The sequence below is a fragment of the Homo sapiens genome, chromosome 16 (genome assembly GCF_000001405.40).
Source record: "Homo sapiens chromosome 16, GRCh38.p14 Primary Assembly".
NCBI lineage: Eukaryota > Metazoa > Chordata > Mammalia > Primates > Hominidae > Homo > Homo sapiens.
Window position 1 is genome coordinate 74093485 of NC_000016.10, and position 16746 is coordinate 74110230.

General features: G+C 41.6%; 1 long non-coding RNA gene across 1 annotated transcript, besides 2 other annotated features; it reads right to left on the minus strand.

Moving 5' to 3' along the window:
- Positions 1167-1276: a silencer, noted in NCBI's record as "silent region_7695". NCBI's record gives its function as "represses an Ori minimal core promoter by ATAC-STARR-seq in GM12878 lymphoblastoid cells {active_cell/tissue: GM12878}" and the evidence as "EXISTENCE:reporter gene assay evidence [ECO:0000049][PMID:35858748]".
- On the minus strand, positions 9598-10354 carry LOC124903722 (uncharacterized). The gene is made up of 2 exons (XR_007065119.1): positions 10313-10354; positions 9598-9868 (listed from the first exon to the last, which is right to left on the minus strand). It is a non-coding gene; the product is annotated as an uncharacterized LOC124903722 (long non-coding RNA).
- Positions 15593-15793: a silencer, noted in NCBI's record as "peak2636 fragment used in MPRA reporter construct". NCBI's record gives its function as "represses an SCP1 promoter by STARR-seq MPRAs in K562 erythroleukemia cells {active_cell/tissue: K562}" and the evidence as "EXISTENCE:reporter gene assay evidence [ECO:0000049][PMID:32103011]".

The window sequence follows — 16746 nt, forward strand, 5'->3', positions numbered from 1 at the left end:
CTTTGGAAAGCACCAAATGGTATGAGCAGAAAGGGGAAGAAATAGAATAGATTATTTTTAAAAAGAGCAACAGTGACTTAAATGGTCACCTAAACCATGGGCTGTTCTCTTTGTTATTCTTTTTTTTCTCAGGTTAGGAGGTTATTAACCTGTATCCTGGAGTGAATGTGTGCCAATTACATCAATGGGACAGAGCAAGGAAATGCACATTAAAAATTAAACCTATTATGACAACATTTGAGTCCTAACAGCATTTATAATTTAAAAAAAATGTTTTCCGGCCGCGCGCAGTGGCTCACGTCTGTAATCTCAGCACTTTGGGAGGCCAAGGCGGGCGGATCACAAGGTCAGGAGATGGAGACCATCCTGGCTAACAGGTGAAACCCCATCTCTACTAAAAATACAAAAAATTAGCCGGGCGTGGTGCAGAATGGCGTGAACCCAGGAGGCGGAGCTTGCAGTGAGCCGAGATCATGCCGCTGTACTCCAGCCTGGGTGACAGAGTGAGACTCCATCTCAAAAACAAAAAAAAAATGTTTTCTCTATTTTAATTTTTGATACACACTGATGGGGGAAAGCAGCTGAATATATAAGCCAATGTCAACGAAAACAAAAGATGCTGGTTTTATATGTTTTTCCCTATTCTTATTTCATACACAGCATTATAACAAATCCATTTTGATATCATCCAAGTGGACACACTCCTTTAGCCAGTAGTTTTTTTAAATGGGAAATTATTGCCCATTCTGTTTCAAACTAGAATGGCATATCTAAAGGCCATGCTTGGGTTTTTGTAAACATTTAATCACTAAAAAGCAAAGCAGTACTTTGCACTGATCTTCACCGGTGATATAACTTAATAGTTATATTTTGATAGTGAACCATTTCACTATTAAAAATATTTTCTCCTGGATAATTAATTGGTCCTATGGTCCATGAAAGTCTTGTAGATTCCTGGATTTACCACTCACTAGCTATGTAAACTTGGACACAGACATCAATCTTTCTCGGCCTCAATTTCCTCATCTGTAAAATCGAGAAACTATGAAGTTGTTATAAGTAACAAATGAGTTAAGATTTGTAAAGGATTTAGGACAGTGCCTAGCACATAATAAGCACTATGGAAGTGTTAGCTATTGCAAGTTTCATCAAACAGATTAAGACCGAAACTAATTACCCACAATGGTAACATGCATTGGAAAGGACCATGTATTGACTATCTTGCCTTCCTTTTTTCACTTCCCCAATGCCCTGCCCTGCCCTGCCCTCCCACTCAGGGCTACTGCCCTTGCTGCTCCTTCTGCCTGGATGTTCTTCCCCAGATCTTCACACAGTTGCTATTTCTCATCAAATTAAATAGCACAGTGGCTCAGGCCTGTAATCCCAGCACACTGGCAGGCCGAAGTGGGCGGATCACCTGAGGTCAGGAGTTCGAGACCAGCCTGGCCAACATGGAGAAGCCCCCCCATCTCTACTAAAAATACAAAAATTAGCCAGGTGTGGTGGTGTGCGAATGTAATCCCAGCTAGTCAGGGGGTTGAGGCAGGAGAATCACTTGAACCCAGAAGGCAGAGGCTGCAGTAAGCCAAGATCATGCCACTGCACTTCAGCCTGGGCAAGAGAGTGAGGCTCTGTCTCAAAAAAAAAAAAACCCAAAAAAATTAAATGCCACTTCCTCAAAGACACCTTCCCTAAACACTCTAGCAAAAGCAGCTTCAACCTGCCTACACACACACACAGACACACACACACACACACAACCTTATCTTTTAAAGACACACACACACACACACACACACACCCTTATCTTTTTTTATAGCACTTTTTAGGACTGTCTTAGTTCATTCAGGCTGCTGTAACAATAATCCCATAAACTGAGTGGCTTATAAGCAACAGAAATGTGTTCCTCACAGTAAAGTCCTGGCAGATTCAATGTCTGGTGAGGGTCTGTTCCTCATAGATGGTGCCTTCTGTGTGTCTTACATGGAAGAAGGGGTACAGCAGCTCTCTGGGGCCTCTTTTATAAGGGCACTAATCCTATTCATAGGGGCTCTGCCTTGATGATCTAATTAACCCCCAAAGGTGCCACCTCTTTTTTTTTTGAGATGGAGTTTCACTCTTGTTGCCCAGGCTGGAGTGCAATGGCGTGATCTCGGCTCACCACAACCTCTGCCTCCCGGATTCAAGCAATTCTCCTGCCTCAGCCTCCGGAGTAGCTGGGATTACAGGCATGTGCCACCACGCCCAGCTATTTTTGTATTTTTAGTAGAAATGTGGTTTCTCCATGTTGGTCAGGCTGGTCTCAAACTCCCGACCTCAGGTGATCCACCTGCCTCAGCCTCCCAAAGTGCTAGGATTACAGGCGTGAGCCACGGCACCCGGCCCTCTTTTTTTTTTAAATAGTGATGGGGTGCTGCTCCATCAACCCAGGATGGAGTGCAATGCTGCCATCATGGTTTGCTGCAGCCTCCAACTCCTGGGCTTAAGCCATCCTCCCAGCTCAGCCTCCCTAATAGCTGGGACTACAGCCACATGCCACCATGCCCAGCTCATTTTTTAAATTTTTGTAGAGACAAGGTCTCGCTATGCTGCCCAGGCTGATCTCAAATTCCCAAACTCAAGCAATCCTCCCACCTCAACCTCTCAAAGTGCTAGAATTATAGGCAGGAGCCACCATGCCCAGCCAAGCCTCACCTCATAATACTATCATATGTGGGATTTGGTTTAAACGTATGAATTTTGGGGAGACGCAACCATTCAGACCATAGCAAGGACCTAAATCACGTTAATTATTTGTTCTATTGCCTCTTTGTAGTTTATAATAGAATGTTATAAGTTCCAACTTGTTCACCAGTAAACAGTAAACAGATTGGCACCTAATACTCAATATGTGTTAAAAAAAAAAAAAAAAAAATTGTGAAGGCCGAGTGCAGTGGCTCACACCTGTAATCTCAGCACTTTGGGAGGCCGAGGTGGGTGGATCACTTGAGGTCAAGAGTTCGAGACCAGCCTGGCCAACAAGGTGAAACCCCATCTCTACTAAAAATGCAAAAATTATCTGGGTATGGTGGTGGGTGCCTGTAATCCTAGCTACTTGGGAGGCTGAGGCAGGAGAATTGCTTGAACCCTTGGGGCAGAGGTTGCAGTGAGCCAAGATCGCACCACTGCACTCCAGCCTGGATGACACAGCAAGACCCTCTCTATATATATATTTGTAGACTGAATATGTGCCTGATATTAAACAGTTATGACACATGGGATTATAATTTCCCTGAGCTGGTTTGGATACATATATGCCTGCAGCATTAACCATAAGTCTCTTTTTCTTAGAGAGCAAGAGACTAGATACTGTATGCCATTTATAATTAACAAGGAAAAATGCTAAGAGGAATATATGAAATGTGATCAAATTAATGAACCTGATTTTCCCATGTGGATTGTTACATTAGCCTCATTATTTTGTGGTCATGCATTACACAGGGGACTTAACCCTATTAGGTTATCAGTGGTAGAAAAGAAAATACAAGATGCCAGCTGGACCCACGACAGTGAAAGGCAACTCCTCTTACTTTTGCTGCCATATCCAAAAGTCTGTGTTCCCATTCCAGGAGACCAGAATATGCTGCTCCAAAACCTGACTGTAGGAGACGAGAATAGGTCACCCTAAAACATGCCTCTTCGGAACAGGATTATTTTGAGAAACAGCAGCCACAGGAGAAGCACTATGTGTTAGCTACTGTAATTTTCATCATACAAGATTAAGACCAAAACTAATTACCCACAATGGTAACATGCATTGGAAAGGACCATGTAGAAGTTACGCGTTTGTAAGGTAATTTACATCCATAAAGAAAATTTTTATTTGTAAGGCTGTCTCCCTCTCAGTACCAGGAAGAAAGGGATGACCTTAAATCACTAGAGACTCATATCAATGGAGAAGACCTGGACTTAAATCTACAGAACAAACCTTACCCTGTTCACTGTTTTTCCTGACACCTCCCCATAACTGGCATTCCTCATTCTTTCTTTGCTCTTTCTTTGTTTCAGCAGACAATGGTATTTAAGCCTGAATTCAAAGCCAGCACTTGGAGATTTCTCTGGGTATCTGCCATGTACGCATGAGACATACATGTTATGAAACTTCTGGGGGTTTTTGTTCTCATTTATCTGCCTGTTATGGGAAACAGTACTTTGGAGGCTTAGAAAATGACACCCCAAAGCATGACCCTTTAGTGTGCTGGGTGCTTTGAACGGAAGGAGATTGAATGGCATCAGAAGCAGACTCAGAAACAAAGTCACTCTCTGACCTTCTCTTGCCCTCCTGTCTCCCAACCCGCTGCCTTCCCCAAAGTGGATCTTACAAACCAGAATTCCTCTTCCCCAAAGCAGATCCTAGAAATTAGAAACCTTCTCCAGAGTAAGCCATACAACCTAGAAAGGTCATTCTCTGACTTCCTCCTTCTCCCTTGAAGACCCTCATTTTGTTAGAGGCATTTGAACCAGAGCAACTCCATCTTGAGTGGGGGCTGGGTAAAATGAGGTTGAGACCTACTGGGCTGCATTCCCAGATGGTTAAGGTATTCTAAGTCACAGGATGAGACAGGAGGTCGGCACAAGGTACAGGTCCTAAAGACCTTGATGATAAAACAGGCTGCAGTAAAGAGCCCAGCTAAAACCCACCAAAACCAAGATGGCGACGAGGGTGACCTCTGGTCATCCTCACTGCTACACTCCCACCAGCGCCATGACAGTTTACAAATGCCATGGCAACGTCAGGAAGTTACCCTATATGGTCTAAAAAGGGAAGGCATGAATAATCCACTCCTTGCTTAGCATATCATCAAGAAATAACCATAAAAATGGGCAACCAGCAGCCTTTGGGGCTGCTCTGTCTATGGAGTAGCCATTCTTTTATTTATTTACTTTCTTTTTTTATTTTTATTATTATTATTTTTTTCTTTGAGATGGAGTCTCGCTCTTTCACCCAGGCTGGAGTGCAATGGCATGATCTCGGCTCACTGCAAGCTCCGCCTCCCGTGTTCAAGCCATTCTCCTGCCTCAGCCTCCCGAGTAGCTGGAACTACAGGTACCCGCCACCACGCCTGGCTAATTTTTTGTATGTTTTAGTAGAGACGGGTTTTCACTGTGTTAGTCAGGATGGTCTCGATCTCCTGACCTCGTGATCCACCTGCCTCGGCCTCCCAAAGTGCTGGGATTCAAGCGTGAGCCACTGCACTCGGTTTATTTATTTACTTTCTTAATAAACTTGCTTTCACTTTACTCAATGGACTCACCCTTAATTGTTTCTTGTGCGAGATCCAAGAACCCCCTCTTGGGGTCTGGATCAGGACCCCTTTCTGGTAACAATTCCAGAGGGTCCTGCCCCACACCTGAAAGGAAGGAACGCTACCCAGAGAGGTCAAGAAGAATCCGAATAGACAGGCCTCGCTGGGTTTCCCCAGCAGAATCTATCACAATATTAGATCATTCTCTTTTGACGCAATCACATTTCTACATGGCTGTCAATTCTTCACTGTGCCTATGCATAAAAACAGTCTTCTCTGGGTGTTTGGATCTTCATTTCTCAAGGCTCCTGTGTCCTGTAAGACTTTGATTAAATAAGTGTGTTATGTGTTTATCTTGTTAACCTGTCTTTTGTTATAGGAGTGCTGGCCGTAACCCTTACGATGGATGAGAAAAGGCATCACACCTTTTTGCCCTCCCATTCCCAATTAAGAACTATAAAGTGTAAAGAGAAAATTAATTTTCCTCTGCTACATTACACAATGTTAGCTACAATAAAAAGCACAAGCCAATTATTCAACGATGGAAAGATATTAGCTATCAAGCCGTGAAAAAACATGGAGTACCCTTAATGCATATTGCTAAGTGAAAATGAAGCCATCCTCAGAGGGTTAACAAGAATTCTGAACAGAAATACGTTATAATTAAGCATTAATTAGGCTGCACTTTGCTCCACTCCCTTGTAACCAAAAGTCACGTAGTACCACATACGGACCACATACATCCCCATTGTTCTTATAGATAAGATCTCTGATGTTAGAATTACAAGGCTTTTGTTTAAGAATTGCTTAACATGTTTCCAGATTCCGAATTCCAGTGGCCCCCTTATAGAGAAACTGAATCAGCATGAGAATAGTTTCTTCATCTCCCTGTCCCATGAGATAATGGACTCTTTCCAATCAATGATCGCCACATTCCAGCCCACTCCAAAAACCTTAAAAACCTTAGCCCCAGACTCCTCTGGGAGACGATTCTGAGATTTCCTCCTGTCTCCTCATTCGGCGGCCCTCCAATGAAACCTCTTTCTCTGCAGCAACCTGGTGTTTCGGCGACTTGACTTGTCACGTACATCACACAATGAATCTATCATGTTTACAAAAGAAGCCAATCTGAAAAGGCAACATACTGTATGATTCCAACTATATGACATTCTGGAAAAGGCAAAACTATGGTGACAGTATAAGATCAGTGGTTAGCGGCGAGAAAGGAATGAATAGATGGAGCGCAGGGCAGTGAAACTATTCTGTGTGATGCTGTAACGGTAGATACATGTCATGCACTTGCTGAAAACCACAGAATATACAATACCGGGAGTGAACCTTACTGTAAACTATGGACTTGAGTTAATTAACGGTGGATCAACATTGCCTCATCAATTGCAATAAATGTACCATACTAACGCAAGATGTTAACAGGGGAAACTAGACGGGGGGAAGGAAAGGAGGGGCATATGGAAACTCTGTACTTTCCCCTCAATTTTTTGTAAGCCTAAAACAGCTCCAAAAAATAAGGCCTATTTAATTTAAAAAAAAAATTGTAAAAGCTGTCTTTCTTTTCATGTAATTTGAGAGGATATTTCCTCAACTCAATGCATTAAGACACCCAGAGTCTTAAGCATTTTTTGGTTAATTACAACCTGTTTTCTCATCACATTTCTAGATTCTATGTAACAGATGGTGAAAATGTCTATTCTGAAGGCCTAAAAAGTATTCCTGTTCAAGAATAGTGGCTATTACCCAGCATCCCCTGCGCAGGAGTTGGAATACCCAGGGCTGGGTGCAGGAAGAGGGGGCCACACATGAGGCACCAGGGTGGAACACAGAAAGCAAATCCTCAGGGTGCTAACAAGAATAGAGGGAACTCCCAGAGGAATTAAAAGTAACCCCTACCAGGAACCTAGGGAAATAATCTATACAGAGAAAGAAACGACTTGTTTGAAATTCATTCACACTGGCAGGGTCAATAGAAAAATTTCAATGTAAATAACAGGAGGCCTTAAATGCATGTTTGCTGAATGCTGAAGGATCTGGGGCAGAAACTATGCAGAGGTTTCTGCAGTGGCCAAATGTTGCCTCTTATCACAGCAGAACAGCCATTAAAAGGGAAGCCCTGGGAACACAGTGAATGTAGATGGAGCCAATCAGATACCCCTGTGAGAGATTTTTAAAGATTTTTTTGTTTTTATTCTCCTTGTAGTCCATTTGGATCGGATAAGATTTGGGAGACTGATAATTTGCCATTATCTTAACCTCAAAGTTGAAGCAACATTTAAAGGGATTAATGTGGCTTTTCTCCCTCCCAGGGGCATTTTCACCTTCACACCACCGACTCTTCATTTGTCATCAGCAAGCTGGGGACAATTACTCAGAAGACAATGGCAGCAGCGCCACAGCACCGTGGGTTTAATGCTATTTCTGTCTCTATAAAATCTTCAATAATTTGTTTACGACTTCCAAAATTCAACAATAGTGTGCAAATGCAATTCTACTTATGTTAATGTGTACCTCCTTTTCTCATATCAGATTCTGAATAAAAATTAGGCAAGTACTCTGTTTTGAAAATATATAAGATGTGAACTTCCTGGGGGGCTGGGGGGACCTCCAAATGCACTATCCTATCAACCACATTTTTTTTAACTTAATAACTTAAGTGAACTGTTAGTGAAATTACAACCTGCTTGTGACACAGTAAATTTACAACAAAATTCATTCCATAAATTATTCAATTCCAAGACTGCAGTCAAGGAGAGAAATATCACCAGGAGCAGGTGATTAGCATGTGAAAGGAAAAACCCATCTCCCTGCAGAAACAATCACTGTCAAAGCTTCCTATTGGAGTTTTGTAAAAATTACTGTTAAGAACACACATTTAAGGCTTTGTAGTTCCTATAAAAGGGCTAAGTATTTGATTTACATTAGATTCGTTTGTTCTTTCTTCAACTGTCTCTTTCTCCTACAAACCATAACTGCCTCAATAAATGCTTGCTCAATCAAGTGTGCATTAAAACAAAAGAATTTAACTTCAATAAAAGTGATGAATCAGGGCCAGAAGTTAACTTTTCCCTCCTCTGTGTTTCTTGCTATAAAGTAGGCAAAGCAGAAATTTACATCTGATGCTCCACAGGGGAATATAATTGGTTTCTATTGTGTAGTTGGTCATAGCTGTAGATTCTTGAAGAAATCATTTGAAGCCAAAGTTGCAGGACAAAAGGGTTTCAACAAAACTACATTTGTGAACATGGTCTATAGACAAACTAGCTCTGTAAATGGGACTGTCTGCTTTCTACCAACTTCACACACAGAAGACAGTGCTGATGGGCAAACAAAAGAGTTACAGGATGTTTTCTGAAATCTGGCACACAAATCCCCAACTGGTGGTATTTTCAGCCAGGTACTAGGAACATTTTTTCCTTCCATGGTGGTAGGTCTTCAATAAAACAAAGTAGATACTATCACCTTTTTTCTTAATTAAAACAGCAATGTGGCTGTTCTCACATATTAATACATACACTGTTACATTTCAGCAAATGCCTTAGAATCTGCTTTTCTTTAGTGGTTGCTCTTTTTCTTATAGGCATGTGTGATAGGCAGAACAATAGAAAATGTCCATGCCCTATTTCCCAGAACCTGTGAAGATGTTACAATGCACGGCACAGAGGAATTAAGGTAGCAGATGGAATTAAGGTTGCTAATCAGCTGACCTTAAAATAAGGAGATAATCCTGGATTATCCAGGTGGGTGCAGTGTAATTACAAGGGTCTCTAAATGTGGAAAAGGGAGGCAGGAGAGTGGGTATCAAAGGGACATGATGTGAGAAAGACTTAACCAGTATAGAGACAGAAAGGTGCAATACTTTTTCATATCCATTATAAAGGTCAGAGCCAACATTCTTATAACAATAAACAGGTTAACAAGAGAAATGCTATATTCATCTGTTCTCGTGCTGCTAATGAAGACATACCCAAGACTGGGTAATTAAAAAGGAAAGAGGTTTAATTGACTCACGGTTCAGCATGGCTGGGGAAGCCTCAGGAAACTTACAATCATGGTGGAAGGGGAAGCAAACATGTCCTTCTTCACATGGCAGCAGCAAGGAGAAGTGCCAAGCAGAAGGAGGGAAAGCTCCTTATAAAACCATCAGATCTTGTGAGAACTCACTCACTATCACAAGACTAGCATGGAGGTAACCGCCCCCATGATTCAGTTACCTCCCACTTGGTCCCTCCCAGGACACATGGGGATCATGGGAACTACAATTCAAGAAGAGATTTGGGTGAAGACATACCAAACCATATCAATGCATAATAAATTTATTTAATCAAAGTTATACAGGACACAGGAGCCATCAGAAATGAAGACCTAAACACCAAGGGGAAACTGATTTTATGTTTAGGTTCAATGAGGAATGGCAACCAGGTAGAAACATGACTGGACAAAGAGAAGAATCTAATTGTGATAGACTAAGTGGGGAACACACAAGGCTTGTCTATGCAGATTCTTCTTGGCCTCTCTGGGTAGCATTCCTTCCTCTTGGGTATGGGGCAGGACCCCTCTGGAATGAGCATCTTCAAAGGAGAAAGCAGAGAGTGACATTACTAGGTTTAATGAGAGGGTTTCTAATTACTAGGATCTACCTTGGGGAAGAGGAATTCTGGTTTCTAAGACTTTGGAGGGGGAACAGGGGTTGGGTGACAGGAGGACAAGAGAAGGTCAGAGAGGAGACTTTGTTTCTGAGCCTGCTTCTGAGGGCTTCCAATGTCCTAGTGTTCAAAGTACTCAGTATGCCCATGTGCCATATTTTGGGGTATTGTTTTCTAAGCCCCAACACTGGCTGCTGCTGGCTCTGAAGATGGAGAAAGGGCAGTGGCTCATGCCTGTAATCCCAGTACTTTGGGAGGCTGAGGCGGGCAGATTGTTTGAGCTCAGGAGTTCAAGGCTAGCCTGGAAAACATGGTGAAACCCCATCTCTACTAAAAATACAAAAATTAGCTGGGCATGGTGGCACACACCTGTGGTCCCAGCTACTTGGGCATTTGAGATGGGAGTAACTCCTGAGCCCAGGAGAACAAGGTTGCAGTAGGCCAGGATCACACCACTGCACTCCAGCCTAGGTGAGAGAGTGAGCCTAGAGAAAAAACACAGCCCCATGAGATCTTACTCTCAGGCAGAGAGAGCCCTCTTTGTACTTCTGACCTATCATCAGAGCTAACAGATAAATTTGCATTCTTTTAAACTCCTAAGTTTGTGGTAATTTATTAAAGCAGTAATAGGAAACTAATACAGAGTATTTAAACAATACACCTGCTAAAAATCTTAGCAAATTAAATTAAGAGAGTTTAACTGAGCAGAGAACCAGACACAAATCAGGCAGCCTCCTGAGCAAGAGTAGGCTCAGAGAGACTCTAGCACAGCCATGTGGTGGGAGAATATTTATAGACAGAAAAAGGAAAGTGATGTCCGGAAAATGGAAGTGAGGGACAAACACAGCCAGATTGGTTTCAGCTCAGCCGTTGCCTGATTTGAACACAGTTTGAACACTTGTCCCCCTTTGGCCATAACTCAGTTAAGCCAAACTTAAAATATATAAGAACTTAAAATATATAAGGAGGCAGCTGTAGGCTATACTTGATTTAACACATCCTATTCTGAAAGGTAAAATGGTATGGAGAAAGGAAAGCAATTCTGCAAATTGTTATTGTTTGTTAATAAAGGAAATCACAAAAGGAGAGGCTTAAACGTTAATTTTACATAACTCTCCCTAAAATTACATAGGCAGGAATATTTGTGAGTTTTTGTTTGTTTTTTGAAACACGTTTCACCCTGTTGCCCAGGCTGGAGTGCAGTGGCAGGATCTCGGCTCACTACAACCTGCGCCTCCCAGGTTCAAGAGATTGTCATGCCTCAGCCTCCCAACTAGCTGGAATTACAGGTGGACGCCACCTCGCCTGGCTAATTTTTGTATTATTAGTAGAGACAGGGTTTCACCATGTTGGCCAGGCTGTTCTCAAACTCCTAACCTCAAGTGATCTGCATGGATCGGCCTCCCAAAGTGCTGGGATCACAGGTGTGAGCCACGGCACTTGGCCAGTAGGAATAATTTGGTTTGGCAATTATGTTTTTTTTTTTTTTAGTTGTTTTTTGTTTTGAGACAGAGTCTTGCTCTGTCGCCCAGGCTGGAGTGCAGTGGCACAATCTCAGCTCACTGTAAACTCCGCCTCCCAGATTCAAGCAATTCTCCTGCCTCAGCCTCCTGAGTAGGTGGGATTACAGGTGTGCACCACCACGCCCAGCTAATCTTTGTATTTTTAGTAGAGACAGGGCTTCACCATGTTGGTCAGGCTGATCTCGAACTCCTGACCTCGTGACCCAACCCCGTCAGCCTCCCAAAGTGCTGGGATTACAGGCGTGAGCCACCGTGCCCTGCCTGGAAGGGCAATTTTGTTTTAATTGCAATTAGCCTTCTACCATTTATCAAAAAGATTCCTTAGTGTTTATGGATAGACACATCTTCCACTGGCAGTGGAATACTTCACCCTACCTAAAGCGATTCCTTCTTTCTTAGATAATGCCGCCTTCTCACCTATTGTCTGACTCTCCAGAGCCATCAGCCATTGCCTGGCATGTAGTTTGTGCTTTGATACACAGAAGCCACCTAAAAACCACCTTGACTTGTAACAGTAAATTCCTATTAGATTGTTCAGCACGGAAGAAAACCAACATACAACTGCAGAATAAAGAGCTGAAAGGAACCTTATGTGATCTAGTTTAACCTCTTTATTTTATCAGAAAAGTGATATTCAAAAACTGGAATTCTCTCTGAAGGTCATGCAGTCTGGAGTGAAAGTAGCTTGAAATGCCAGCCCAGGTCTCTTCCCATAATGTATGCTGCTGTCCGCATGGTTTGTTCAAATTCAGTCCTTCATTCATCCAATGGCAATTTACTAAGGGCCTACCTGTGTGCTGGGCACTGCTTTAGACACTGGTTATGCAGTGGAAAATGAGAAAAATGAAGGCCCTATTTTTTTTGTTTGTTTTGTTTTGTTTGAGATGGAGTCTCACTCTGTCACCCAGGCTGGAGTGCAGAGGTGTGCTCTCGGCTCACTGCAGCCTCCGCCTCCCAGGTTCAAGAGATTCTCTGCCTCAGCCTCCCAAGTAGCCAGGATTACAGGTGCCTGTCACCACGCCTAGCTAATTTTTTTTTTTTTTTTTTTTTTTTTTTTTTAGTAGAGATGGGGTTTTGCCATGTTGGCCAGGCTTGTCTCGAACTCCTGGCCTCAAATGATCTGCCTGCCTCGGCCTCCCAAAGTGCTGAGATTACACGCATGAACCACCGCGTCCAGTCCTCTATGTTAACTACATAGTGAACAGTCCAATGGGAGGAAACAGACACTACACAATAAATACACAAACACGTAACAAGTGCTATCGAAAATGGAACAGGTTGATGTGATAGAAAAAGACTAGGGGTCGCTTTCAGATTGGCTGATCAGCAAAAACCTCCCCAAAAGGACCTGAATAACAAGAAGGAGACAAGCAGGATGGGAGCAGTGCCTTCCCCGCAGAGGGAACACAGACACAGACTATAGCACAGAAGCTAGTCTGACCTTTTGGAGGAAGGTCACGAAGGCCCGTGTGGCAGGAACCTGGCACAGGAGGGTGACGGGGTAAGAGGGGCAGTGTGAAAGGTGGGCGACAGCCCAGGCGAGCTCTGTATACACCTGTATTTATATGCGTGTTGACCTCCATTTTGGAATGTGAAATGCTCATGCGCACGGATTTGTTTAATACACAAAGCACCTAATGTTACCAAGTCAATATGAACTCGGACCTGTCCTGTCTTCATGGGGAAGGATTGGTTTCTTTTTTTAAAGAAATATTTTTTTGGAGATAAGATCTCACTCTGTTGCCCAGGCTGGAGTGCAGTGGCACAATCATGGCTCACTACAACCTCAAATCCATGGGCTCCAGAGATCCTCCCATCTCGGCCTCCCAAGTAGCTGGGACTATAGGCGTGCAACACAACATCTGTCTAATCTTTTTATTTTTTGTAGAGATGAGGTCTCACCATGTTGTCCAGGCTGTTCTCGAACTCCTGGCTTCAAGCAATCCTCCCACCTCAGTCTCCCAAAGTGCTGGGATTACAGGTGTGAGCCACTGCGCCTGGCCCAAGGGTTGGTTTCAAAAACACAAAATCAACAAAATGAGTGAATTGTTGGCACTGATCAATGGCATTGTGCTGGGTTTTATGAAGTGAAGGTTCACAAGAGCACTTTAAGATGGGAATGAAATAATTTCAACAAAGGGAAGTCAGATATTCCCAGCATGGGGGAAGCTATTAGAAGTTACTGAGTGCACACACTATGTGCAGGCAATCCAGTAGCTGCTTCCCCTCCATTATTCCAGTTAACGCCCCACTCTACAATGTTATGTAAGAAGCACTTGGGGCCGGGCGCGGTGACTCACGCCTGTAATCCCAGCACTTTGGGAGGCCGAAGTGAGCGGATCACAAGGTCAGGAGTTTGAGAACAGCCTGGCCAACATAGTGAAACCCCATGTCTACTAAAACTACAAAAAAATTAGCCGGGAGTGGTGGCGGGCACCTGTAATCCTAGCTACTCGGGAGGCTGAGGCAGGAAACTCGCTTGAACCTGGGAGGCGGAGGTTGCTGCAAGCCGAGATCACGCCACTGCACACCAGCCTGGGCAACAGTGCGAAACTCTGTCTCAAAACAAACAAACAAACAAAAAGCACCTGGATGCTGAGCAACCAGCTCAAGCCTGCATGCTTAGCGAGTGAGAAAACTGGAAACTACACACTGTTCTCTCTCACTCCAAGGGTCATTCATGCCTTTCCCATTTTGCCATCTACCACTCATATAGACCAAAAACTAGTCTGCACAAGTCATGTCACCTCTAAAAAGTCCACTCTCTTCTTGCATGAGATGACAGGTCAGACCAGATGATCTCAAAAATCCCTGTGCGTCCAACATGCTGGGATTACATGGTTCTAATCTACTGGCAGAACTTCCCTCCCTCATTCTTGCAGGCCTCTGCACCTGGAAATTTCCTCCTCGGTAAGTAGAGCAGTTGCTACCTAACGATCAGAAATGCTTCCTAACGTCCAGAAGCCAGATTTCTTGCCTGCATGGCTAACAACAGCAAGCGCAATCCTACCTCCCCCTGCTGGTGGGGGAGGGATAACAGGGTCATTACTAGCTCGTCTTTCCTTTCACTTCCACCTCCTCAAATAAAAATCAACTTCCAAATCCGTGAGTCAGTCTCGACACGTTTATGTGCCAAGACACTATTATGAGGAAATTGCATTCCCAAATGAACTTTAAGGACAGCTCTCAGCAGCTTAATTTGCAAATGCCAGTATTTTCCCTCTCCATAAAGGGCTCACCTTCTTCGGTTCAACGTCAAATAGAAGCAAACAGAAATTTTGCTTCTAAGAAGCACAGATTATTTCGGGGGAGTAAAGTTCTCTGCCTTAAAGACTTTTCTACTTAACAGCAATCTCAACAATTTGGGAGGCCGAGGCGAGAGATTCGCTTGAGCTCAGGTGTTCAAGAGCAGCCTGGGCAACACAGGGAGACCCTGTCTCTACAAAAAATCTTAAAATTAGCCAGGCGTGCTGGTGCACACCTGTGATCTCAACCACTCAGGAGGCTGAGATAGGAGGATCTCTTGAGCCCAGGAGGTCAAAGCTGCAGTGAGCCATAATCACGCCACCGTTCTCCAGCCTGGGGGACAGAGCAAGACCCTGAAAAAAAAGAAAGAAAGAAAAGAAAAGAAAAAGAAAAGGAGAGAGTCACCATCGTATAACATGTCAGTAAGTCACATTTCCAGATTTGGAGTGTGGCTAATCATTTCTTCTTGAATTGTAAATAAATGAGAATTATTTTCATATTCTGGAGCAAAAATTAAATATTTGAATATAGAGTCATTATTTTTAATATATTAAATTATCAAGCTTAAAATATCTCATAATTTGGGCCAATTCTGACTACTCCATAAGGCAATGCTAGGACTAAAAAGACCCAGCCTTCCTATATACACTGCTTTTCTTTATATAGAGAGCAGGTCTTCCATGCCCCAAAAAAGTCATCTGATTCTTCTGAGTTGCCATTTGTGGTAGACAGTTGCTGTTTTTGCCTATCCCACATTCTGCATCTAGGTTTTCCTTTGGAAATTACCCCCAGCCCAATCCTGTGTATCTATGGTTCAGGAGTAGTCAAATTCACATCCAGATCCAGGGGCAGGCACATGATCCAGGCCTTGTCAATCAGGCTATCCCATCCCCCTAATAGCAGTTATGGCCCATACCACAAGTCTAATCAGAACTAATCCCTAGTTCATTGCTAGAGAGTCCAAGATAAAAATGTTCTCCTTCTCCTGGGAAAGGCATATCAACCTGGAGCTTCTGGGAACCACTTTGCCAACACAGGTAGCAGCCTGCTTGAGAATAAACGAAAACAAAGGAAAGGAAATAAAGATGCAAGAGAATAAGTTGAGTCCGATGACACCACCAAAATTCCTGGAACCAAATGTGCCTGAAGCCTCCATGGACATTTTAGGTATATGAGCCAATTCGTTCATTTTTTTAAATTAAGTTGGTTTAAGTTGAACTTTCTGTTGCTTGCAGCCAAAAAATTCCCATTGGGTATATAAATATATATAATTATATTTATTATATAAACATATAATTATATTTATTATATAAACATATAATTATATTTATTATATAAACATATATATATTTATTATATAAACATATATAATTAAATTTATTGTATAAACATATATAATTATATTTATTTTATAAACATATATAATTATATTTATTGTATAAATATATATAATTATATAAACATATAATTATATATTTATTATATAAACATATAATTATATATTTATTATATAAACATATATTTAATTTTATATATTTATTATATAAATATATATTTAATTACATATTTATTATATAAATATATAAATTATATATTTATATAATAAATATACATAATTATATATTTATATAATAGATATGTATAATTATATATTTATATAATAGATATATAATTATATATCTATTATATAAATATATAATTATATGTCATATATAATTATATATCTTTATTATATAAATATATAATTATATATCATGTATATAATTATATACCTTTATTACATAAAGACATATAATTATATACCTTTATTACATAAAGACATATAATTATATCTTTATTACATAAAGACATATAATTATTTCTTTATTACATAAAGACATATAATTATTACATAAAGACATATAATTATATCTTTCTTACATAAAGACATATAATTATATCTTTCTTACATAAAGACATATAATTACATACCTTTATTACATAAAGACATATAATTACATACCTTTATTACATAAAGACATATAATTATATACC